This window comes from Homo sapiens, chromosome 8 (genome assembly GCF_000001405.40).
Source record: "Homo sapiens chromosome 8, GRCh38.p14 Primary Assembly".
Lineage (NCBI taxonomy): Eukaryota > Metazoa > Chordata > Mammalia > Primates > Hominidae > Homo > Homo sapiens.
This window is the reverse complement of record NC_000008.11, coordinates 126,846,660-126,873,808: the sequence shown is the minus strand read 5'-3', so window position 1 is coordinate 126,873,808 and position 27,149 is coordinate 126,846,660. Positions and strand designations below refer to the sequence as shown.

Below are 27,149 nucleotides of genomic sequence, written 5' to 3'. Positions count from 1 at the left end.
TAGGGAACTTCTCCACAAAGACAGATTTTCCCTAAATACCGCTGTCCACCTGCTTACTCCTCTCCATAGAGGGCCTTCGAGGTCATCTCACTGTAAAGTTTAGGATGAAGATAAGCATTCTACAGTGCTCCTCTTTATAGGCCATAATGGCTTGCAGAGAGCACCTGTGTTCTCTACCAGTAGGTAAAGGTCCTACCTCAAGGAGAAAGATATTTATCGTGGTTTTGTCTTGTTTTGATTTTTTCAGCCCTTTCAGTGACTGGGCAGAAAAGCCAGACTAATTCTGGGGACTCTTGGAAAGCCCACTGTAGTTTTGCTTTGTAGTGTTTGTCAGTAATAGAGCTGGCATTCTATCCTCCAACTATCAGCCCCGTTGCATCTCTTGGTCGATTCAGAGCTCTGGCATGGAAAGAGGTGAAGGGGTGTGTCGTGTTCACTCTTAAACCCTTTTCACCGTAGAATGCCAGTATGCATTAGCAGTAGCTAATTTAAAGACTGAGTTGCTTCCGCACTGCTTCTGCATATGTTGCCAAGTTGATCTAACAATTTTATGTGAAATGTAAAGTTTTTTCTTTATCATAATTACGTTTCACAACTCAATGCTTTTTTCCTATACTTTGTGTTTTGGACAGAAGCAGGGCAGAATATATGACTGAAGTGAACTCCACTCGACCTTCAAATCCAACCCCTCCGAAGAGAATATTCCAAGAATCAAGCAAAACCTGGGAGGTCAAGGATGTTTCATCTGCGTTTCCCCATTCTCTTAGATTGTCTCTTCTTTCCTCAAGTCTCATAGAATCTGAGAGTTAGAAGGTTCTCAAAGGTCATCTCAAGCACAATGCTTTGTGAAATTTGAAGTCCAGCTACAATATGCCCAATAAGCATTTATCCAGACTCAAGAGTCCCCATTGCTGGAGAATTGGAATTTAATAATACCAAACATAGCCCAATCCATTTTGGAACAAATCTACTTGTGAGGAAGTTATTTTATTGTTGTTTGTTTTACAGCATGCTGTAGGTGGTCTCTTTGAATTCCATCTAAATACAACTTTTTGTAGTACAGTACTGCAAATCATCTATTCTAAAGATGCATATGTGTTTACACTGTATCTGTGAACATTCATAACAATTGAAGACACTTCTGATTGTGCTTGGCTGGGCAGCAGACACGACGTTGTTGCTTATGCATGTGTGAGACAGGCTGTTTCAGGTAGTGTGATAAAAATTCTCTCAATATTTCAGTCAAACTATTTAAGAGTCTTTGGAATAAGGAATATAAGCCTTCTATGTCTTAAAAAAAATTTATGGAGATTTTTTGAAAATCATGAAAGCACCAGATTCAAAACATTCAGAAGGCATCTTGGAAGAAAAAAAAAATCTCAGGAGACAATAGTGGAGGACTCTAAACAAAGTTGTATTACAGTATTCTTAAGAGTAAAATCAATGGGACGATAGAGCAAAACTGCTCAACTAATATACCTAATTCATAGAATGTAATAGCTATTTAGGAAATGAAACATTTATTGTTGATTTATGATGTGCTACTAACTCTGCTAAGCCCTTTCCATATTTTATTCTACTTGATCCACCCCAAGACCTAATGAGGTAGTTAGCACAGGGCCACTATCCCTTATCCAAAACTTTTAGGCCAAATTTTGAAATTCATAACTATTTTTATTATTTAAGAATATATAGTATATGTATTGTATCTTGTTTAACCCCACCAGCAGGGTCTGGGATAGCATGCTGTAATCAAACACATTAATATTTTGCAACAAAATATGTGCATATTCACAGACTGTGGGATAAAGAAATATCATAGTAAGTCTCCAGTCTCCCGTCTCATGCCAGTTTAGGTCAAAGATGAGTTTGTGATGGGCTTATGAAAATGTTTTCTGTTCTCAGGTATTTGGGGATTTTAGATATGCAAATTAGTGGTTTGGAATTTGTATTAGTGTCTCCATTTTGCTAATAAACAAAGTGAGGCTTTGTAAGTAGTTCCCCCTGACGCACACAGCTCAGAGTGTGGAGTTGGGTCTGAGACAATCAAGGTCTTAACAACGATGCTTGGCTGCCTCAGTGAAGCATCCATCTGCCAGGAGGTTGGGGGTCACTGCCATGGGCCCTGAGTCTTCTCTTCTTTAGACTGATCACTTGCCCATAACTATCTCTAGACTTCTTGCCACAATGGCTCTCCTTTGAACACCCCATGGTTTCTCACTTCTTAAACCACTGTAAGTATGAAGTCTCCATGAGGGGAGACTTAACTAACTGCTAATAGAAGAACAGAAAGAACAGAAAGGTGTGTGGAGTTCCACGCTCCAACAGCATCTACCACTTGCTCAATGAAGTTTTTCAAAAATAAAAATATTTTCTAAGCAGATGATGTGGCTCTTTTATCGTGCTCATCATTTTAGAGAGAAAAAGATCAAAGATAGAGCCACCATAGGTTCCAAACCCAAGGTTTGGGAAACTCCATTCCAGTTCTATTAAAATTGCAGCTTTTTCATATAAATTTCCCTGGAGAAGAAATATCATAGGAGTTTTAATAATAATAAAGTACAGGTTCTGTAGCCAACTCATCTGGTTTGAATCTCGTTCTGACACTTCCTAGCTGTGTAATCTTAAGCAAATTACTTAACCTCTCTGTGCCTCTGTTTTTCTAACAAATGGGGGCAATGATATGACCTACCTTTGAGAGTTGATATAAGAATTAAATGATTTCACACATGTAAGCTACCGTACCAGTTCCTGACCACAGGAAGAACACAGGGAATATGAACTTTTCATCATTACTGTCACAGATATTTGTAACCTATGAACCATGCCCTCTCAAGAAAGAAAAGTAGCAGAAGAAAAAATTAGGAGTCAGATCTGTGAATCTCTGAAACTCAGGAACTTAAGCATTAAACTGTTGTGCTGCTCAGCCCAGGAGTCACGATGCCTGGAAATCAATCAACTTCTGAAATTCTAGAGCCTCTCCCAAAACCACTTCAAGCAGCAAAACCACATCTTATCCTCACACGGAATTAGTGACTTGGTGCAATATAAAACAAATATTCATGGCCTTCTCCATGGAGTCTTTTCGGTAAATAATAATGGATTACACCTGTTCCAACACTATCATTATTAGGCATTACTATAGGCAAGAATTTATGTAGCACTCTCTAGAGAAGCAAAGGTGGCTTAGATGATCTTTTTCTTCAAAGATATCACATCCTAGCAGAAGTAACAATATGTATACACACACATTAGAATGTCAGATAAGGTATATGTGGAGATATACACATACTGTATATGTAGATAGGTAGTATAATATACATATTGCATGTTTATATATAAACATCTCTATAAGTAAATATATGTAGTATATATACACATACGCATATATACATGTATATATACACATACGCATATATACACGTGTATACGTATATATACGTATATACATATATGTATATATGTATACACATATATATACACACTACATACAATATGGAAGAATATGGAAGAGAGAAATTGCCCTGGAACTGTGGTCTATAGGAAAACTCTTGCTGCCTTGCTATGGCTTGTGAGCTGAAAATAATTTTTACATTATTGACTGGTTTCATTTTAAATGTATATATATGTATCTACATAACATCTTTCATTTGTCTCTTCACTGGCAAAGCCTAAAGTATCTGCTGTTTGGCTCCTTAAGCAAAACTTTGCTGATCCCTGCTCCAGAAGGCTATGAGGGGGTATCACATGGTTTAGTACAAAGTATGTTTTGGAGTCAGGCAGGACTGCATTTGAATCCTAACTAATCTGCTTGCTTGCTGTGGGGCTTTGGGCAACCCCAACCTTAGATCTTCTTTCATGGAACGTGAATAATATTATCTACAGTGTAAGATTAATATCAGCACCACATGTTTAATCCACCTGATGCTTTGTCTGTGCTTAATACATGTTTGCTATAACTGTGCCTGAGTTTGTTCATAGAAGATGATTTCTATTTATTTTCTTCTTTTGACTCTTAGATCTTCAAAAGGGCCATGTCTTGCTGATTTCCATATTCATAGTGCCTACTAAGTGAATGATTAATAAGGAATGAATGACTTGCGTGATCTGCAGAGTCTCTAATGGGATACAAGTAATTTCTACCTTATTAATTTATGTTCCTTAAAACAGCCCCTAAAGCATGCTGAGAGCATATCCCACACTGAGCACGTCCCACCTGTCCTTCCCCTACACCCAAGCACACCCTCTTCTGGCCATGCTTGGAAATGTTTCTTGAAGGGCAAAAAAAAAAAAAAAAAAGCCAATCTACAGGCCTAAAGAAAACAAAGGTGATTTCTTTTTTAATTCCCTCACCAAGGTGGAAGTGGGAAGTTGAAATAAAAGCAGCATGTTTCATTAATACACACTGCCCTAATGCACAGGCAGGCCCTGGGGGTGACATGGTTTTGGTAGCTCTAGGGTAAATAAGTTCTGGTTCTTTCTTTAGTCTTAGATTTTAAGAGGATTCCAGCAGAGCAACCTTTTAAACGGGTGTTCACATATCACCACCTTCAGGAAGGCTTTCTTAGCCACTCAGGTCTCACTGATTGTTCTCTCCGCTGAACTCCTAAAGTGGCAGTGGAGCCTAGTGGTTGGGTTCGGGTGATGGAATCAAACCCAGGTTCAAATTCCTCCTCACCATATACAGCTTTGTGACCTTTTGCAACATACCAAGCCTCTTTAAGTCTATATTTTCTTGTTTAAAAATGTAAATATCAGGCCAGTAGTGGTGGCTCATGCCTGTAATGAGCCAACACTTCGGGAGGCCGAGGCAGGCAGCTCATGAAGTCAGGAGATCGAGGCCATCCTGGCTAACACGGTGAAACCCTGTATCTACTAAAAATACAAAAAATTAGCTGGGCGTGGTGGCACATGCTTGTAGTCCCAGCTACTTGGGAGGCTGAGGCAGGAGAATCACTTGAACCTGGAAGGCGGAGGTTGCAGTGAGCCGAGATCGTGCCACTGCATTCCAGCCTGGGTGACAGAGCAAGACTTCATCTAAAAAAAAAAATTAAAAAGTAAATATCAATAGCACCTACCTCATAGTTGTTTTAAAAATTAAAAGATAATCTGTATGTAAAATACTCAGCTCATTGTTTGACATAAAGCTCATTCCTACAGAACATTGAGAACTATTCATTATTGTTATTTATTGCACTGATAACCTATGTTGCATTTAATAATAGATGTTTCTTATGCTGTAGTTTAAATATTTAATGCATGTTTGTTTTGTCCTTTTGATGGCAATTGCTACATATTGAATTTTCTGTTGTAGTCTCAGAGTAATGTTTTTCAACAAGATATACTTCTTGCCAAAGTTGTGAAGTAGGTTAGAGCAAATGTATAGTATAAAGACAAGAATGCTTCTGAGCCCTCTTTTACATTCCCTGGCCAGTTGCCTCTCAAGCTACCTCCTGCCCAACTCTGAGTGGAATCTTCTCCCAGAGCTAATTAAGGTTGCAGATGGAATCAACTTTGCAAATCAGCTGCATCTGTGGTAGGGAGATTATACTAGAATAGGCAGTGGGCCCAGTGTAACCACTAGGATCCTTAAATGAAGAAGGAGGCATAAAGTTTACAACCAGGGAGATGACACCATGAGAAAGACTCACTGGGCCCTTTCTGGCTTTGAAAATTGAGAAGGGGGACTATCAGCCAAGGAATGCAGGCAGCCTTCAGAAACTGCAAAGGGCCAGGAAACAATCTGCCCTAGAACCTCCGAAAAGAACCCAGTTCTGGCCGGGCGTGGTGGCTCACACCTGTAATCCTAGCACTTTGGGAGGCCGAGGCGGGTGGATCACGAGGTCAGGAGTTCGAGACCAGCCTGGCCAAGATGGTGAAACCCCGTTTCTACTAAAAATACAAAAATTAGCTGGGCACGGTGGCAGGCACCTGTAATCCCAGCTATTCAGGAGGCTGAAGCAGAAGAATCGCTTGAACCCAGGAGGCAGAGGTTGCAGTGAGCTGAGATCGTGCCACTGCACACCAGCCTGGGCAACAGAGTAAGACTCCATCTCAGGGAAAAAAAAAAAAAAAAAAAGTTCTGCTGACATCGTGATTTTAGCCCACTGAGAACCATTTTGGACTTTTGATCTCCAAACCGTAAGATAATAAGGTTGTTCCTTAAGCCACTGCCTTTGTGATAATTTATTACAGCAGCAATAGGAAAGTAATACACTGATCCATGAGGTTATAGGATGCAGGAGCCCCCAGGGCAGTGTTGACTTATGGAGATTTTTCAGGTGGTCTAGAATAGTATAGCCCAAAAGAGAGCGAGATCTGACTGAAGTCAAGGAGGAGAAAAACAAACAGAGTCTAAACATTCATCCTGAGCGCCAAGACAGAATATCAGGACTAAGTGATGAGAACCAGGCCAGGGCCTATGAAGATCAAGGGCAAGGTTGGATACCATGTAGGGAGCAAGGGGCATGAGGTTAGGCCTGGCATTCAATGGTGGGAGGGAGAAATGCTTGACTATCTCATGAGAGGGCAAGGATATGCTACCTATTTTATATGTCTGCTGGCTCTTTCTCAAGAGGGGACCCGACCATGCTGAGAGCTGTGGTTCCACGTACAATGCACCTCTGTACCTCCTATGACACCTTCCATGGCACCTGATGCCAAATCAGCCCTGAATGTATTAATACATTGACAGATTGTCCAAAAAAGTGACTATGGTCAGTATGACAATCTCACCTGTGAGAGGTAGGCTCTATCTACTTGTGAAGGTACATCTTTTTTTCATAATATTCCTAAAATCCCACCTGATGGAAATATTAGGTTGGTGCAAAAATAATTGCAGTTTTTGCCATTACTTTTAAAGGCAAAAACAGCAATATCTTTTGCACCAACCTAATAAGTCCAATGCCAATAACACTGTGTGATAGAACATGTTTCCATAAAGTTTTGTGTTAATAAGCACAGAGGAACAGTAAGTTTTCCTTCCTTCTTTCCTCCCTTCCTTTCCTCTTGCTTTCCTTTGTCTCTTCAATGTTCATAGTAACACGAAAAACTTCGAAAAGCCCTAAATATGCCAGAGAATACAAATTCAAAAGAAAATATGGAATCCAGGGAGATGGGGAGCATGAGAGATGGAGTATTTTATACAAAATGCTCTTGGCCACCTGGTGGAATGGGACTAGACAACAAAGGAGGAAAAAAAAAAAAAGCAAAGGAGTTTTATCACAAACATGGTTTCCAAAGCAACTGCCTAGAAGTCTCTTTCATAAGATTCCAAGTTCCTCTCCACTCCCTCCTAAACACACACACACATGCACATACAAACACACATCTCAACTTCAATGCAGTCATTAGAACAAGTCAGGCAGTCATGCAATCTTAGAATCGAAAGGGCCCTTAGAGATAAGTTGCATCCAATCGTTGCTTCTTCCCAACACCCAAAACACCCGTCTATACCTGAGAACACTCAGATTCCAAGAGAAGAATCTGTCCCAAGGGCCCATTCCCATCAAGCAGCAGAGCTGGACTTGGATGCAGGCGGCTCCACAGCAGACTTCTGCTCTTCCTGTGGTTGCAAAGGCCACGCCTTACTGGAGTCACTGCGTTTGGCCAGAGTGCAGTCCAAGAAAGCCCCATAAACCCTTGCTTCTCAGAGCGTGGTCCTTGATCCAGCAGCATCAGCATCAGCTGGGAACTCGTTTAAAATGCTAAATCTGACTGAGCACAAGGGCTCACACCTGTAATCCCAGCACTTTGGGAGGATGAGGTGGGCAGATCACCTGAAGTCAGGAGTTCCAGGTCAGACTGGCCAACACGGTGAAACCCCGTCTCCACTAAAAATACAAAAATAAAAAAAAGTAGCCAGATGTGGTGGTGCATGCCTGTAATCTCAGCTACTCGGCAGGCTGAGGCAGGAGAATCACTTGAACCTGGGAGGCAGAGGTTACAGTGAGCTGAGATCATGCCACTGCATTTCAGCTTGGGCGACAGAGTGAGACTCCATCACAAAAAAATAAATAAATAAATAAATAGAAATAAAATAAAATGTCAAATCTCACGTCCCTCCCCAAACTTTCTCAATTAGAATCAGCCTTTGTGATACGGCTCCCAGGTGATTCGTGTGCACATTAAACTTTGAGCAGCATTGAAATACGCTGTTCTTAATTTGGTACAATAGCAACAGTTCTTCAGAGGTCTTCTAGCTTAATGGTCCAAAGCTGCGAATTCTCACAGTTCAGAGTGCTCAAGAGGTCCACCATAATTACCAACAAATAAGCATTACAAAGTGGTGTTTCGTCCTCTACCCAGAAATCTGTGAACTCCATGGAAGAGGCCTTCATGATTTTTGTTCTCTGCTCAGAAATCAACATTGCTTTTGGTATCTAGGAAAGAAGGAAGAGGTATCTTTTTTTAAAAGAAAAAAATAAATAAAATATCAGATGACTGTAGCTCTTTTGTTAACTTCTGCTTACTTTGCTTTGGCTTTGGTTTCATGAAATCAGAACCTCCTATTTACATAGGGTTTACATAAGGCCCATTGTCCTTTTGTGGCACAAAGAGGCAGCTTAGACGAAGGAAAAGAGCACTGGGCCCAGAATCATCCAGATATGGGGTTCAATACTACCCCAGCTTTTGAATTGCTGTGTGACCCAAAGCAAATCAGTGTGCTTCTCTGAACCTTTATTTCCTCAACAGTAAAATGGCTATGCCAATAATAAGTAATTTATGACAGTTGTGAGAAATCATACATATGAAAGCTCCTAGCATGTGGCAGATATTCTGGCCTAGCACGCGGCAGATATTCATCTGGCCTAGCATGTGGCAGATATTCAGTAGGGCATGATACAGAAAGGTTGTAATTAGAGCATAAAATGGATACTTTTTGAGTATCTGCAATGCCTGCAGACACCAGGTATACAACAGTAAATGAGACAGATATATTTATAGTATCCACCCAAGTAGAACTATTGTTTACTGGAAAGCAAGACAAAATAATGATAGCTAACAATGATTGAGTGCTTGCTACACGCCAGGCACTGTTCTAAGGACTTCACATGAATTAACTGATATAATCCTCACCAATATCCTATGGATATTAGGTACCATCATTAACTCTCTTTCACAGATGAGGAAACTGAGGCACATGAGGGTTAAGTAACCTGGTCCACAGCTGTATAGAAGCAGCTTAGCATGAGACAGGTTGGTATGGAGATTCAGTAAGTTTCTGAGTTCAGATCCCAGGCTCTCCAGTAAGTAAGGGAGCCTGGGATCTGAACTCAGAAACTTACTGAATCTCCATACCAACCTGTCTCATACTAAACAGCAACTACATGTATATAAACACATGCTTCAAAAGGAGAAGGCCCAAGAACTAGGAGGGTGCACACCAGGGAGCCCTGGCCTAGCCTGAGGAGTCAGAGGCAGCTCTCGAAGGGGGCAATGAGAAAGCGGTACCCAGATAAAGAAGGGGAAAAGCTCTCCCTGTAGAACAAGTATGGGCGTGAAGACCTGGAATTAACGGAGAACTGAGAGCTTAGGTCATTAATATTAAGCAACAGAATTGTACTTGGCTGCTAAAGACTGCAGCTCAAAAATCAAGCATCCAACAAATACACCTGGAAAGAAAATACCTCAGACACCACTTCTGTTGTATCCACATTCTCTTAGTCTTGACCAGCATCAACGTCTATCATTTTTAGAGGAAAATTAGACCACAGGAGAGCGGATAATGAGAAGGGGAAGCAGGGAGGGCTTTGGCTCCACATCTGGGCCAGGATCCACTGATGCTCGTTTCTGTGTGACCTTGAGTGGGTAATTAAAACTGTCTTCTAAACCTCAGTTTCTTTATCTGGAAAATGGGATTAAGAATATTTACTTTTTATAGTCATGGTTTAAATAAAGCCATGCATGTATGGCCTGGCTCTTGGCAAGGACTCAAGGAATGTACTCTCCCTTCACCTGTCAGCGTTCAAAGTTAGAAACTGGCACATCGTGCAGGAAGCTGAGACACCCAGGTCCTCTGAACACCCAGGTCCTCTCTCTAATCTTGTATCTTTGAGGGTGTTTGGTTTTGTTCCGGTATCTTAACCAGTATTGAGTTATCAGGTCCGGCCATGGAACACTCACAAGACTTTCTTCTTAAAATCACGTGTTTAAGATCATTCAAAGGGATCAAAACTTCAATTTGGATGAATGCATCCAAGTGTCCTATTAATAATCTTTCTCATCAATAAAAACAAAAAAAAATAAAACTGGGAAAAAAATTATGAGGAGATAGGTAGTAAAATGAATGAGGATTGCTGTTTTCCTTTTTTTTTTTTTCCAGCAGTGCACACTGAAGGAATATCTATGACCTCAATTTCCAATTTCCATCAGATTCCAGGAGATACATTTGAAGAAAAAAGGCCAGATCTTTTCAGGGATACCTAGAGCTTTAGAACCAGAAATCAACTCGAAGATCATTAGGTCAACCCCTTCATTTTCCAGAGGATGTGAGTGATTTTTAAAGCTGGAATGAAGCTCATACGGGGTTATCGGCAGAATTAGGGCTTGAATTTGGGAGTCCTAAGGCAATCAGGGCAGTGCATGTATGGCAATAGCACTGATCAGCTAAGGAGATTTTCTGCTGAGGACAAGTAACCTAAGTTTCAAAGTTTAAGCAGAGGGTCGTTGATAACCTGCCAAATTCACTTGTCTGGAGAAGGAAAGTGAAGTTAAAAGTGCTATAAACCAACAAAGCCTCAATTCCACAAATTTAAGAACATATTCTCTTTCCTAACAGATGCAATAAACTAATAGATGCTCTTCACTTTTCATTGACCCCTTTAAGGGGAGTCGGTGGAGTTTTCTCAGATTTGCATGTGATTTGCATATTGGTCACACAATCCCCAGCTCAGGTCAATGAGTAATCACAGGCTTGTTCCTGTTCTGGTTCTTGGTCATTAAGCAAGAGTGCCAGGTGCCTTAGCTTCTGCCATGGGAAACCATCACCCAGGAAAGTACAGCCATTCTCCAACTGCCTCTTTCCGGCTGAGGACCAAGGCATCCCTCATAATCCTGATGCCCTCCAGAGGCCTTACAGAAAACCACGAAAGACTCCCCAATGCAGTGTGTGGTCTGAATATATCAACTATGAAGGAAACTTCTGGGCCTATTAAGGACATTTGAATTTGGATTGGGCCTTCCATGCCACTAGGAAATTACTGTTAATTTTTATGGGTATAATAATTGTATTATTGTTATGTAACATAATAGCCTTACTTTTTAGATATGCATTCTGAAATATTTGAGGTTAAAATGTGATATCTGTAATTTGCTTTAAAATATAAACTACTCTAAAATGCTAAGCAGGCCGGGTGCAGTGGCTCATGTCTGTAATCCCAGCACTTTGGGAGGCCGAGGCAGGCAGATCACTTGGAGTCAGCAGTTCGAGACCAGTCTGGCCAACGTGGTGAAACCCCATCTCTACTAAAAATACAAAAATTAGCTGGGTGTGGTGGTGCATGCTTGTAATCCCAGCTACTGGGGTGGCTGAGGCAGGAGAACCACTTCAACTATTGAGACGGAGGTTGCAGTGAGCGGAGATCACACCACTGAACCCAGCCTGGGCAACAGAGTGAGATTGCCTCAAAAAAAATAAAATACTGAGCAAAACAGACAAACAAAAAATAAAGCAAATGCAGCAATATGTTAGTAAATGTTAAACCAAGGCATGTGTCCATTATAATAGTCTCTCTACATTTCTGTATGTGAAAAATTGCATACTAAAAATTTTAAAGCAAATAAAGTTATTCTGTTATCATGAGAAAAGGAGCTGTGGAACTTGACCTCTTGTTATCCTGTTCACCACCCAAAGGTCAGCCTCCATAGACAGATGATATAAAGACAGCAAGAACTTTTTATATGTAAAAAGCACACACAGGTGACTACTACATGAATATTTTCTCATTGCAAACACTTCAAACCACCAAGAAGTATAAGGAGTAACCATTGAAAGTTTCCCTCTGTGGGTTTCCCTCTTCCAGTCAATCCCCCAATTCTTCAACTCCTGCCCCCACTTCTCTCCCCGCCATTAATTAACAATTTAGTGGATGGGAGAAGAAAAATTAACTTATGTCCTTGGGTCAAACTCAATGCCAAAATCACCCAGGAAAAAAAGGATACAAGCAGAGCTGTGGTGTGGGGTAGGGATAGGGGCAGAATGAGGTGAAACAGACTTTCTGAATCGCTGGAAAGCTACACACAGTATTCTATTTTGGAAAGACACATGGGTATCCACTCTGCTTCCTCTGGCAGGAGAATGTGGCCTTCCTAATACTGAGTTCAGTTTGTCATCCAGGAGAGCCTGAAGTTTGCAAACTCTCTCCCTTGAAACCCAAACATTCAGGTTGTTAAAGGTAAGTTCTCCCCACCCCATAGTTGTGGAATCATAAAGCTCTCCCACAAGGCACCTTCTCAGTGCTGTCATCTCAACATGGCAGAGCCCAACCTGGGTGGAGAGTATCACATTCAGCTTTTGGCTCTGATGAGGATTCAAGGCCCCAGAACAAAAGACGTGACAAGATGAGCAACATGAGGTCATGCTTGCCTCCCTTACATTTTGTATCCTTGGTTAAATAAAATGGGAACTTACGATAAATGCATAGGTATCACCTGTTTTTGTTAATTCAGAATCTATTGGAAAATCTGCAGTCTTTCTATAGCCCTTTTTCTATGCACTTACATATATATTTAATAATGATAACAGTAACAATAAAGGAACACCTGTACACTGTTTGTGGGGATGTAAATTAGTACAACTGTCATGGAAAACTGTATGGAGGTTTCTCTTAAAACTAAAAATAGAATTGTTATATGATCCAGCAACCCCACTTCTGAGTATTTACCCAAAAGCTTTTTGTTTGTTTGTGTTTGAGATGGAGTCTCGCTCTGCTACCCAGGCTGGAGTGCAATGGCATGATCTCGGCTCACTACAACCTCCACCTCCTGGGTTCAAGCGATTCTCCTGCCTCAGCCTCCCAAGTAGCTGGGACTACAGGCACCTGCCACCACGCCCGGCTAATTTTTGAATTTTTTGGTAGAGACGGGGTTTTGCCATGTTGGCCAGTCTGGTCTTGAACTCCTGACCTCAAGTGATCTGCCTACCTCAGCCTCCCAAAGTTGTGGGATTACAGGTGTGAGCCACCATGCCTGGCCCCAAAAGCTTTTAAATCAGTATGTTAAAGAGACATCTGCACTCCCATGTTCACTGAAGCACTATTCACAGGAGCCAAGTTATAAAATCAACCTAAGTGTCCATCACCAAAGAGTGGACAATGGAAATATGGTACATATACACAATGGAATACTATGCAGCTTTAAAAAAGAAAGATATTTTGTCATTTGCAACTACAGGGATAGAAATGAAAAACATTATGCTAAATAATAAGTCAGCACAGAGAAACAAATACTGCATATTCACACTCACACATGGAATTTAACATAATTGAACTCAAAGAAGCAGAGAATAGAAGAATGGTGCTTACCTGAAGCTGGTGCATGGGAGACATGTGGAGACCATGGTCAAAGGGTACAAAGCCTCAATCAGACAAAAAGAATAGTTTTTGTTCTCTGAGATAGACATTGTTCCTGATTTAGGTTTTTCAACTTGACAACAGTCCAAAAACCACATACATTCAGTAGAAATCATATCTCAAATTTTGAATTTTGATCTTTTCCTGGGCTAGAGACCTGCAGTTCAATACTCCCTCAGTGCTGAGTGACAACAAGAGCTGTAAATTCCCATCAGCCATGCACGGGGGTAAACCACCAATCTTTACCGTGTCTGTCTTGCCTGATGTTTCTGCCCAACTATAGAAGTGTTCTGAGCACATTTAAGGCAGTCCAAGCTAAGCTGTGATTTTCAGTAGATTAAGTGTATTAAACGCGCTTTTTTTTTTTTTTTTTTTTTGAGATATGGCCTCTATCTCTTGCCCAGGCTGGAGTGCAATGGTGCGATCTTGACTCACTGCAACCTCCAGCTCCCAGGTTCAATGCCTCAGCCTCTTGAGTATCTGGGACTACAGGCATGCGCCACCATGCCCGGCAAATGTTTGTATTTTTAGTGGAGATGGGGTTTCACTGTGTTGGCCAGCCCGGTCTCAAACTCCTGACTTCAAGTGATCTGCCCTCCACTGCCTTCCAAAGTGCTGAGATTATAGGCAGGAGCCACCATTTCCGAACATTAAATGCATTTTTGACCTTTAATTTACAATGGGCTTACCAGGGCATAACCCCATCATAAGTCAAGGAGACTCTGTATTGTATAATGTGGCGAATATAGTATTCATGTATATTAATGTATCATACATTTTTTAATTGCTAAGAGAGTATATTTCAAATGTTCTCACCACAAAAAATGGTGTTTGAGGTGATGCATATGTTAATGAGCCTAATTTAATTATTCCACATTGTATTCATAAATCATAACCTCACTTTGTACCTTATAAGTATATTCAATAATTTCTTAATTTACAATTTAAAAATAAAAATTACAAACAACAACAAAAATAATAAACACATGTGAGCCCTTAGAGCAGAGTAGTGTTCTAAGCACTTTTTACCTATTAAATCATTTAACCTTCACAACATCCCTGTGAGGTATGTACTATTTTTATCCATATTTATAGATAAAGAAACTGATGCCAGATTGGTTAAACGGTTGCCCAAACTTAACCAATTAGGACTGGGGGAACTGAGATTTGAATCCAGGTAGTCTAACATCGGAGTATACTCTGTTGACCATCACACTATTCACACATATTGTTTTGCTTTTCAATTTATTTTTCATACATAGGATCACACTACATGTGACATTTCATTTTTACTTTGAAATATTCCTTGGACTTACTGGATAAGATCCACCTCATGGTTTTTAACTCCTGCACAGTCTTTCATAAACAAGACATAGAGATGTACAGAACCATTTCCAAATTGATGGTTATTTAAATGATTTCTAATATTTTGCTGTTATAAATATTGAAATGAACACTCTTGCCCTTGTCTTTTTTTAGGCTTATATGTATTTGTATAAGTTTCGATTCTTACAAGGAGACTTGCTGGGTCAAATGATAATGCACATCTAAAATTTTGATAAACACTGAAGTAAGATTTTTACTTTTCAATTTACAATAGAGGTCAGAAGCCAAAACTCCATGTCTTAGGAGGTAGGGAAAGGAAATGAGACTAATATCTTGCCTGAGGCATCAGTCCAGTTGGCTTTTCAGCCTCCCATATCGTGACATAAAAATTGAGTTCCCCCCAAAAGGAGTTCTTGAGTTCAAAAAATGAGTTCATGAGATTTGAAGTCATGAATGAGTCAGACTTTATAACTAGAAGACTTTAGCGTACCTTGACAAAGGTTAAAAGGTTATACTATTGAATATGGCTGCATTTCACAATCAATAAAACTGATACCAGTAATCATAACAGTCACCATTTATTGAGCATGCACTATGTGCTGGGAACCCTACTAAAGGCATTCACAGTCTCATTTAATCTTCCTAACCATCCACAATCCTATGAGTGCCCAGAGCCAACTATGGCTGCCTAGTTAACCCCTTGTTTCCCTTGCAGTTATAGATCAACCCTCACTTCCTTAGGAAAGCCCTTCCTTGCTTCCCTGACCAGGGAAAATACCCCTACGATACCCTCTCATAGCACCAAATGCCTCTTCATTATAATGCTTTCAAGGGTGGTAATGCTATATTGAATAGTGTGAATCTTTGATTAACCTCTATGTCTCTTTCTAGACTCCACAAGGGCTGGGATGGTGAGAATTGAACAAGTGACTGAGTGAATGAATTAACCAACACATGAGTTATGGAGCTAAACACTGACTGGTCAAGACCATGTTGGAAGATAAAGATGGGAGAGGAAGCACAGTCCATGCAAGAACATAGTGATCAAAGGAATCCAGATTAAAAAAAAAGTATAGGTCATGTTTGTAGCACAAAGAAGAATATAGAGTGTAGTATGACTAAAACTTCCTGCCTCTACTCATCTGGGTTTACCAGACAGGGGAATAGAATGAAGTTAACCATTTACACCTTAGTTCCTTAGTGTAAACTCATCAATATACCTCCTACAATAGCAACATATGTGTTTAGAGAAGAACTAAAAGCAAAGGAATGCTGACATTTCAAGCACTATGACATCAGGATGGGAGAAAAATTGGAGCACTTCTGTCTTTGTAGGCCATGTAGAATATATTGTGGGATATCCACATCCTCCATCTATCAGCACACATGGTTCTGGCTAATCCTAGATCAGGAGGAGAAAAAAAAAAACAAAAAAACCTCTGATGTTTGAGCAGCAATGGGCAGTGTGTTACACCAGACATGGTGGTTTCATGGTGGTTTCATGAGAATATGCAATTTCAGTATGATTCATACCCTTATATTCCCTGAAACTTGACAGAAGCAGATTTTGTACTAACAGCCATACACAGTGGTGCTCACGTACAATAGCTTACACCTGAAATGACAAAGGAGTCATCTACCTTTAGAAAATGTGACCCCAATCCCCTCAGAGTGCACAAGCTCACTTGGGTTTCCATCAGAGGAATTTAACTCTTAGGGTTTGGAGAAGGGCACGGAGCAAACTGTTGGGAATGCTTCAGATTGTATTAAAACAATAGACTGGCTCTCTTCCTTTGGGTGACATGGTTGTGATTTCCAGAAATAGGATGAATCATTTGTCTCAAGTAGGTAGTGTTCATTCTAACTTGGCTAGATTTTCGGTGGCCTTTTCTAAAATCCATAGAAGAAATGTGTATTACAGATAGACACATTTGAGAGGTGCTTCCTAGGGAAAAAAAAAATACTCTAGGTGAACAAGTTCTCCTCTGTATCTTACCCAACTCTCCATCAAAAGAGGGTTTTTCCTACTAGGCCTTTCTTTTCTTAGACCTATGAGGTTAACTATAGGAATAGGATGAACTACGCTGATCTTTAGAGAGGAGAAGGGAAGCGATATTATCAATGCTTTAGCCATATGTGTATAAAATTTGGGAATGCTTTGGGTTGCAAATAAAAGAATATTGGTCTAACAGTAGCTTATATAAATACAGTTATACATCACTTAAGGATGGGAATACATTCTGCAAAATGTGTCATCAGGTGATTTTGTCATTGTGCAAACATCATAGAGTGTGCTCACACAAATCCAGATGGTAGAGCCTCTACATGCCTAGGCTCTATGGCATATGCTATTTCTCCTAGACCCGTGCAGCATGTCACTCACTATACCAAATACTGTAGGCAATGGTAACTCAAGGGTTATTGTTAGTGCATCCAAACATAGAAAAGATACAGTAAAAGTACAGTATTATAATTTTACAAGACCTCTGTCATCTATGCTGTCTGTAGTCAGCCAAATCATCCTAATGCAATACATGACCATATTGTATTTTTCTCCCTTATATAATAAGAATTGTGTAAAAAGATTGTCCTAAGTATGTGGCAGCTCAAGGATACTTATCAGAACACCTCCTCCTTCCATCTTTCAACCTCACTATTTTTAGTAAATTGGTCTTTTATCCTCTTTGCTATCCCCTTATGGTTATAGAATGGTTCCTAGAGTGGTTCCCATAGCTCCAAGAGCCACAATTTTAAATAAAGGCAGGAAGAAAAAGGGAATGAGATATCTGTCCTTTTTATCTAGAAAGAAAACTTCTCAGTCCACCAGCCAACTTCCCCTTAACTCTCATTAGTCTGAACTGGGTTCCATCAACTCCCTTACCTATAAGAAAGGCAAAAATAAAAATAAAAAATGAAAATAAGTAAATAAAAATAAAATAAAATAAAGGTGGAAAAGGTATCCATGACTTAATTCAACTAACCAATCATGATTTGTCACCTGGGATCAAGCACATTGCAAAAGTTGTTGTATCTAAAGAAGGTGGAAGTGGGTGTGAAGCAGGTAACTAACACCTCTATCCCATCAGATCACCATTCTCTATCTTCAGTGCCTTGGTTACAGCCTCTGCTTCTCTCTCCTCTGTTTTTATGGCAAACAGAATATTAAAACTTCTCATTCCTTAAGGCTTAAGTTTTTTTGAGTGAGCTCATCCAGGAAACCATATTGGAAGACTTCAGCCCACAAAAATTATAGCTACCATTGATTAAATGCTTACTATAAACCAGACATTTTGCTATATTTGAATTAGTATTGATAATTCTCACAACAATCCTGCCAAACAGTTAACATCCTCCATAGTATATAACTTTTTCAGAGTCTCAGAATTGGTTTGCAGTGGAAAATTGGTTTGAACTGAAGACCATCTGGAGTACAAAACCTACTCTCTTTCTTAACACATCTGTTCTTTTTCTCTACTGAATTATTATAGAACTTAGAGTATTACCAATACCTCTATCCTCTCCTGTATTATTCTGTGAAGTATTTATGTGTGTAAATTATACAAAAAGAGTTTCCCTTTCTAGGGGCAGGAAGGTCTTCCAGTTGCCCCAGTCATGTATCTGCAACCATGTCAAACTAACCAAATGAGCTCTATTTATAGGGTTTTACACCCAGTACCTAAAGGGAAAGCTCCTCAGTGAAGACTTGAACTTGACGTCCTTGCCTTATCAAAAAATAAAGTCTGCTTTTTAAAATTATGGTGCAGTGGTTCTCAATCCCGGCAGCTTTAGCTAGCCTGGGGTGGCACCTGGGTGGAGACCAGATATCAATATATTTTTTAAACCCCTCCAAGTTTTCATGTGCAGTGAAGATTGGATTTCCAAGGCAGGACTCAGCCTCTGCCTGTTGACCTAGCAGTTCAGGTGAGTCTAATGATCCGGCTAGTCTGTGCAAGGCTGGCCACATAGAAAACCTTTTTGCAGTAATAGCAGAAACTCTTTCTTGGCTCTGATCATGATGAAAAATGTACTCTAGTCTTAGGCTTGAGTGTGCCAACAGGGTAGTAGGAGTTTTTGTAAAACATAACAGAGCTAACATCTATAGAACCTTTATTACAATGTAAGTAATGATACTAAGAACTTTAAATGGCAAATTATGTTCTTCCTCACACCACTCTGAGGGTAGCTACCTATCTGTATTACCTCCTTTATAGACAAAATAATTTCCTACGGTCACAAAGTAAGGAAACGTGGAACAAGGGGTCCAGTCCAGGAAGTCTGAGTCTTTGGTCCCTACTCTTAGCTCTATACAGTGCTCCCTGCTCTAGATTGCATTTGGATTCCTGAACGGCATCATGAAGTAAAGCATTATCCTCTCTACTGAGCCAGAAAAGAGGATGGGAAGTTAGAGGCCAGGATCAGACTGGACCTATGTCTTACAGCAAGGGATCTGATGGAGAAGGAGAAACAAAGACAGAGTTTGGAGGTCAGGGAACTTGCAATGCTATGAAGTCAAATTGAAGAACCTTCCTACCATGTGTAAGCCCTTGCTCTAAGTGCAAAGACTCGATCCTTTCATAAAGCACCAACAGTAATTCTTTCTAGATGGCATGATACAGTGAAATAACCTTGGACCTCAGGATCTAACAGAGCTTGAATGTCAGCTACAACACCTATACGTGCCATAAGCTAATTATTTTACTTCTGAGACTCAATATCCTAAATTGTAAAAAGGACAAAAATCAACTCTTCTGTTTCAAATTACTTTGAGAATAAAAGGAGGTAATAAACATGGCAGCCCTTAAATAACTGCCTGGCCCTGCTCCCTAAGCAACTCTCATTCAGTTCAGCCATCAAAGGGTTAAGAAAGACAGCCTGAGTACAATGATGAAGTTGGGATATTTTATTTCTGAACAAAGGTTCTATAATTTCAGCTCAGCTATGCCTATACCCAGCTCCTCACCGAGTTCTTGCAGCCGCCTGTGGGATGTGTAAGCAGATCCAGGGCTCTGCAGTAATGCTCTTTGAAAAAGCATTGTGCTCTAATAAGTCACTTTCCTCTCCTCAGGCGAAGTTCACATGAATTAGACTGCAAGGCACTTTATGCAAAACGTGTGACCTTCACTGGCTCTGATTTGCATTGTCATCGTTCCTTTATTCTTCTAAAGTGCCTTCATTTTGCATAATGCTATAATGTTATTCAGGCTTTGCAGGTATCACTATTTCATTGCTCCAATTATAACCATTTTAGGCAAAACTATAGATAACCTTCAGAAACCCATGCCTGTGTGATCTTTCATTCACAAGAAGGAAGCAATGAAACTGGACTTAAAAAAAAACAAAACAAAACGAAAAAGCTCATTTTGAGTGGAAATTTAAAACTCCAAGATTAGATTTTTTTTCCCTTCTTGGGGATTAAGAGAGAGTGTTGTCTGTGTCTGCCATGAAAACCTCTGTATTACTAGTTAGTTATTACAGGCAAAGCTTACTATTGGAGCAAGCACATTCACCTAAGCAGAATCACTCAGTGCCATTGAGGCATAATTTGAGTGTTTCTCAACTTACGGAACATCTCCCTTCCAACTGCTCCCATAGATCCCACTCCACGGCAGAAACACCACCCCAAGGCCAAGGATTGGAACCAGTTAATGAACAAACGTCTGTTGGAGACATGACATATTACATTGTTTTTTATGTTAGTGTAAATGAGACTCTGATCCTTTCTTCCAATTTAAAGTTGATTGCAGAAAGACAGAGACACAAATTCTGAGGGATAGAATTGGAGAGGGAGTAAGAAGATGACCCCAAACCAAATGTCAATATTTCCACATTTTGCTAGGGCCCTTGGTTAAAAGTGGATATGCTAAACAGTGGAAGGAAACATTCATTTCTCATATTATTTATCAAATACCTACTATTCACCAGACATCAAATTAAGCACTAAACAATACAAAATGCACCCATCTTCCACAGGGCTTACCATCCTAATCATGAGATTGCAATGGGCTAGGGAAATAGTAAAGGAATTTTGGTAAATCAGAGCTCAAACTTACATAGAATTATGTTACATTTCAATGTGGAAAGCATGTGTGGCTCTTTTATTTCCCTACTGTTTTACTCTCCCTCACTCCAACTTGCTAAATATTTAAAGAAAAATACTGAAGTTACTCCCTGTTAACTGAAAAATGAATATTATCAATAGTTAAATCATTTATCTATACTTAAGGCCATCTCTTTGAAATCATTGCTATTTTTCTTGGTCTCTTTCTCACCAGCACTTCCCTGGCTGTGCAGGAATACAGCTGGCATGACCCCATGGTCCCATGCGGAGGGCAGCTTCTCATGCCTAATCTTTGGGTGTGTGTTGGGTGGCACCTCATCAAATCTGCTTGGTTTTGCTTCAACCCTGGCTGTTCAGTGCTGTTGATGCTGACATCCCTGAATAATAAACTCTTCTCAGCCCACTTGAGACCAATGGCTCCACCACCCGTTTTAGCCCTCCACCAAAATCCTCCTCAGTTCTCACTTTGTCCAAGTCCAAAACTTACTCTAGTCCTAGGCTTGAGTATGCCAACAGGGTAGTAGAAGCTTCTGTGAAACATAACAGAGCTAACATCTGTAGAATCTCTACTATAATTATAGCAAGTCACTCTAATGCTAAGAACTTTATGGCTAGTTATCTTCTTCCTTATACAACTCTTTGAGTGGAGCTATCTACTCATATTACCCCATTTTATAGACAAGGAAAAGTCCCTAAAGTCCCTAAAGTCACAAAGTAAGGAAACATGAAACAAGGCGTCCAGTCCAGGAAGTCTGACTCCTGGGTCTCTGCTGTTAGCTCTGCGCAGTGCTTCCTGCTCTAGATTGCATGTGAGTCCCTCAATGGCATGTGAGGATAGCTCTTACTTCTCTACTAAGGCCAGAAAAGAGGATGTGAAGTTAGAAGCCAGGATCAGGCTGAACCTATGTCTTACAGCAAGGGATCTGATGAAGAAGGGGAAACAAAGACAGCCATTGTATATCGGGAAATTTACGATGCTATGAAGTCAAATTGAAGAACCTTCCTACCATGTGTAAGCTCTTGCTCTAAGTGCAAGGACTTGATCTTTTCATAAATCAGAGGGAGTAATTATTTCTAGGTGGTATGACACCATGAAATACAGACCTCTCTGAGTCATGCCACATCCCCACAGCAACACTGACCCCAGAGGTCATCTCTCAGTGTCTCTTGAAGGATCTCCTCAATCCCACTTTAGTGGGCCCATTGCAGTCCCAAGGGCTGGAAACCTAGTTTCCTTTCTGCTGTATGTCACCTAAGGAATCTCAGGCCTGCTAATGAAACCCTCTCTCTATGCCAGTCCATCCTCTTAAACCATGCTGGGATTCCATATGTTGGCTTCTCTGCCTTCTGGTGTACTTTGTGAGTCCTTAGTGGAGAGGTGGGTTAGAGCTCTTTGCCCCATATAGTCCCCCAATGTAGTCAGCATATCACCCCCTCGAGAGCAGGAGATGTAGTTACAGCCCTGGCTGCCTTTCTCCTCCATCTCTGACATCCTTCTCAGTCCTCTGGGCTCAGAGAGAGGGAGTCTTTCCCTATGTGAGATCCTCCTTCCCCCAGAGAGCACCCATCCCTCCACTGCCCCTTCCCTGTGTTAAACTAGCAGACAGATGCAGGAGGTAGAAATGGTAAAATAAAATCAATTGATAGCTAATTTGATACCTAAAAATATTATTCTTTTTATCCTTAAATATTCAGGTTCTCAGTCACCAAATACTGGAACAGAAATTTTGCTTCCCATTTTGCAGATAAGAAGAAAAGCCAAATTGGAGAAAAATAAAATTGAGGGTGTATCCATGCCAATATACCAACACTGCAGGTAAATGTCTATCTAACGTCCATCACTTCAGTGACACTACACTCTGGAAATCTCTCAAACTAACTGTATCTTCTATTTTTCCTTTGAGGGATGCTCTGCTTGCCCCTGCCCTTTAAGAAGGGGTGTTTCTCCAAGCTCCTTTCCTTGGCCACCTTCTTTTTATTTTTTTTCTACTACTGTGTGCGTGTGTGTGTGTGTGAGAGAGAGAGCGATTTCATCCACTCTCAGAACTTAGCCATAATCTTTAAGTATAGATTCAACACATCTTTATGCCTTGCCCACTTTTCTGTCTTCTGAATAGTTCTATTTTAAAGGAATGCTGGTTCCTTAAACTGGGCATTCAGAGAACTGAAGACTAGTCTCCATGGCACTGATGTTCTAGTTTCTGTTTAAATCACCCTTTCCTCAAACATCTTACTGTCTCACTGTTGGTCTTCATTCAGTAATCCTCATCATGATCATTCCCATAGATTCTGCCTTCCTGGCCTTCCTGCTTTATGCACTTGTATTCCTCTGTCCATCTCCCCAGTTCCCTTGCTTCATACCAGGACCTCACCACCTGTCACTGGAATCCTGCAGTGGGGTCAGGTAGGTGTGATAGAGTATAAAGAAAATAGGTTCAGGCTGGGAGCGGTGGCTCATGCCTGTAATCCCAGCACTTTGGGAGGCCAAGGTGGGTGGATCACATGAGGTCAGGAATTTGAGACCAGCCTGATCAATATGGTGAAACCCCGTCTCTACTAAAAATACAAAAATTAGCCAGGCATGGTGGCACATGCCTGTAATCCCAGCTACTCGGGAGGCTGAGGCAGGATAATTGCTTGAACCAGGGAGGCGGAGGTTGCACTGAGCCAAGATCACGTCACTGCACTCCAGCCTGAGTGACAGAGCAAGACTCCATCTCAAAAAAAAAAAAAAAAAAAAAAAAAAAGAATAAGAAGAAAAGAAAACAGGTTCACTATCCTGGCATCCTAGATGCTCTAGTACCTGGCCCCAAACAGAGTTGTTATCTTATCCCCCACACTCTTATACATTCTCCAAAGACTTGCTGAATTTGGCACTCATTTTCCTAGGACATGGGCTTTCCTATTATATGACAGGTAACTGTTTTCCGCACTGAATGAGCTTGCCAAGCCATTTCAGTTTTTGCAATATATCTACCAATCAAGACTGTTTTTAGATAATGCCTCTTTTGTGAACCCATTCTTGATCACTGTCTTGTCTGAAGCCCAATAACTCACTGTTTTCTCACCTCTACAACTCCTCCTGAGCCAGAAGAATGTGTTTTCACCTTGGTGAAACTTTCTTTGATCCCCAAATCCAGGTTAGATTAGGGCCTCCAGCTGTGTTATCTCAGACATTAGGGGAGAACCCTCATCTCTCTTTGACTTCCTTTTTCTATAGACACCACTGAGAGAAACATATTTGGTTTCTTTCTGTATCCCTGACTTCATTCCCATGGAAGAAAGACTGAAGCATTTTATTTGTGGGCTGGGGATAAGGGGCTTAGTTTATCTTGACCGCTGCTTTTCTTAGCTCCTCCCTGATTCTCTACTTTCAGAAGCTTGACTGACTGCAGGAAGTATCCATTGCGATCTGCTTTCCACCGGGTAACAAGAGCTTCTTCCTTTCCAGGAAGCTTCAGCTGTCCCACTCTGCCAGAGGCTGGGTAAGCACAGTACACTGAATGTGCTGGGCTGAATTCTAGGCCGAAATATTGTTGCCAAAACCTCTAGGTGACAGATGTGATATCGCATTTCCCAATCCAGTTTCCATCACTAATAGAGCTGCCATGTTGCTGCCGATGTTTCTCCCCTCGGCCTTTCCATGGACTCAGGACTTCACAGAGAGGAAAAAGCAGTATCTCAAACCTCCTTCATGATGGCGTTCAGTATGATCAACGCCAGTTTCTTTCCCTGTCTCTTCTGTCTAGCTGGTAAATTCCTGTACGACAGAGACCATGTTCCTTTTCATTTTTGTATCTCTCATGTCTAGCACATTATCTAACTCAATAAATATCTTAACTAAATTGACAGATAGATGAAAACTTTATGCCACCCTTATGGCTCATACTATATCTTATAATAGCACTGCATGAATAAATGGATGAATGACATATGCTTGTATACTGCCTACAACATATTCTGATTCCTTTCACAAGATGTCTACCAACTCCAACAATCTGCACCTCACAATTTTGCTGCAGGTCTACTGTGAGAGCACACTTGAAGCTCTTTCTCTACTGCTTTTATTTTCAAATGCTCAGAACACTGGAATTTTGCCAAGGAGGTACAGAACTGTTCAACCCTATCATCCAGAGCTGAATCATCCACAAAGCATCATAGCATCAAAGCTGATGACAACATCCCACTCACCTATATCATCTTCGCTTTCTACTTTTCACTTCTGCCTTCGTAAATTTACTATTCTCTCGCTGTACTTTAAACCATAATAGTGTCTTACTCATCCTTTCTTGTCACCAAAAAGCTGACACAAGCATTCAGGAAATTAGTGTTGTCTATAAAAGAAGAAAACCACTTTTTTTTTTTTTGGTTGAATATTTTCCTTCAAACACATGTCCTGTTTTCCAGATATTTAGTTGTACTATTTTTAGCCTGAATTAGGTGTGCTCCTTTCCAGGAGACTTCATTTCTGTAATCAGTGGGAAATACTCAGAATAGATCCTCAGTTTTAATTGACTAACCATTGCTTTATTTATTAGTTAACCATCTCTATGGACTGAGTTGGTATTTATAACAAAGGAAGCAATTGCTAAGTTGAACATGGTTTTCATTTCTAGGCTTCTGGACCATGACCATTTGTACAGGGAAGAAAAGCATCTAATAATCCCACAAGAGTTTAAATTCTCTTCTTGCATTAATCATTTACTAGTACTAAATAGATACTGTATACGCTTTCTTATTAGTTACACATTGCTGTTCATCAAATCACTTCATAATGTTCTGGCTTTAATAACAACCATGTGTTACATCTCATGAACTTATAGATCATCTGGGAATTTCTGCTAATCTGGACTAGGTTTGGTTGATCTTGACTGGACTCACTCGTGCATTTGTGGTCAGCTGAGTGTTAGGTAGGCAGTTATGCTCACTGTGGCTGACCTTCTAGCTCGTATGTTTGAGGGTGGCCTGGTGCTGGATGACCTTGGCTGTGCCAATTCAGCAATGCCTTGTCTCATCCTCCAGCACACTAGTCCAGGCTTGGTTCCATGTAGTTGGCAAGTTTCCAAATCCAAGCAAGCTCACTCAAGAGGAGATGGAGAGACACTCAAGATCTTTGTAAGCATCCACTTGAGGCACATTTGGTAACATCCTAGTGATCAAGGAAAAGCACAACTCTGTCCAAAGGCAGAGGGCAGAGACTACAAATTACAGGATAAGGTCAAGAATAACAAGAAGCCAGTAAGTGGGGCTATAGATGCAATTAATTGATCACTTTCCAAACTCTCCTTCTGACTTCGTGTACCTATAAAAACACACGTGTAATGCCCTAATTTAATCCTTCTGGACATAATACTATCATCACCATGAACAATGACAGCCTTCTTAGAGTACTGACTTAAGCTACAAAATAAAGGTTCTTATTTCATTGACACAACAACCTATAAAATAGACAGTAGTATTATTTCAAGGCCAGGTGCTTTAACTCCAAACTTCGTGGGCTTAAGCATCAGATCAGTCTTCCTATCAAAGCAGTTTTGAAATTATTCCCCCCGCAGAAACACATATTATGATGACAGCCTTTTGTCATACTTTGTTCTTGTCTCCCAGTAAAAACTCTTTGGCAAAGAATATATACACCAAGTCTCTTCTTATTGTGCAAATTATTTGAATTTCCCAGGAGTATGTGAGTATACAAGCATATGTGAAATTGAAAGGTGCAATGAAAAATATAATTCAGGGATCATTCGCAATAATGGCTCACAAACCATTTTGTGCCAAGTCCTCAGGCCTTTGGAATCTCTCTGGGGCCTCTCAAATTGTTGCTGGGCAACAACAACAGAAATGGAAGGGAGAAGAATCTGCTTCTGGAAGCGGCCCTCAGCCCTTGGCCCAGCTGTTCTAGGCCTGCTTTCAGGGATCCAGGAAGAAAGTGACCAACCCATGCAAACTTAGGGCAAAACTAACCATATTTAACAGTAGGTAAGAATGCAGAAGGGCAAGGGGAGAAGAGATACCCAGTGCTTAATAAAGAAGCTGTCATGTCTCATGGAGCTTGACTTAGGATACACTTTCATATAATAAACCCTTCAACAAAATCCTTGAAGTAAAATTCACTTCATCTAATGAAAATATTATTAGCCTCCGAAATGACCAAGACGGTTCAGAAAGGTAGTCATTAGGTTGCTGAGATTTCA

General features: G+C 40.5%; 2 long non-coding RNA genes across 3 annotated transcripts in view, besides 2 other annotated features; one reads left to right on the top strand and one right to left on the bottom strand.

Annotated features, from left to right (window-relative positions):
- Window positions 1-27,149, bottom strand: part of LOC105375751 (uncharacterized) — a 463,156-nt gene that overhangs the window by 147,223 nt on the left and 288,784 nt on the right. The gene's annotated exons all lie outside the window — the stretch shown is intronic.
- Window positions 1,819-1,948: an enhancer, noted in NCBI's record as "active region_27930". NCBI's record gives its function as "activates an Ori minimal core promoter by ATAC-STARR-seq in GM12878 lymphoblastoid cells {active_cell/tissue: GM12878}" and the evidence as "EXISTENCE:reporter gene assay evidence [ECO:0000049][PMID:35858748]".
- Window positions 2,059-2,168: a silencer, noted in NCBI's record as "silent region_19523". NCBI's record gives its function as "represses an Ori minimal core promoter by ATAC-STARR-seq in GM12878 lymphoblastoid cells {active_cell/tissue: GM12878}" and the evidence as "EXISTENCE:reporter gene assay evidence [ECO:0000049][PMID:35858748]".
- LOC105375753 (uncharacterized) overlaps window positions 26,849-27,149 on the top strand; it is an 80,166-nt gene continuing 79,865 nt past the window's right edge. Inside the window, exon 1 of one of the 2 annotated variants that reach the window (XR_928638.3) lies at window positions 26,849-26,934. This is a non-coding gene — a long non-coding RNA (uncharacterized LOC105375753). The remainder of the gene's footprint in view (window positions 26,935-27,149) is intronic. The other variant, XR_928636.3, reaches the window with a different exon arrangement.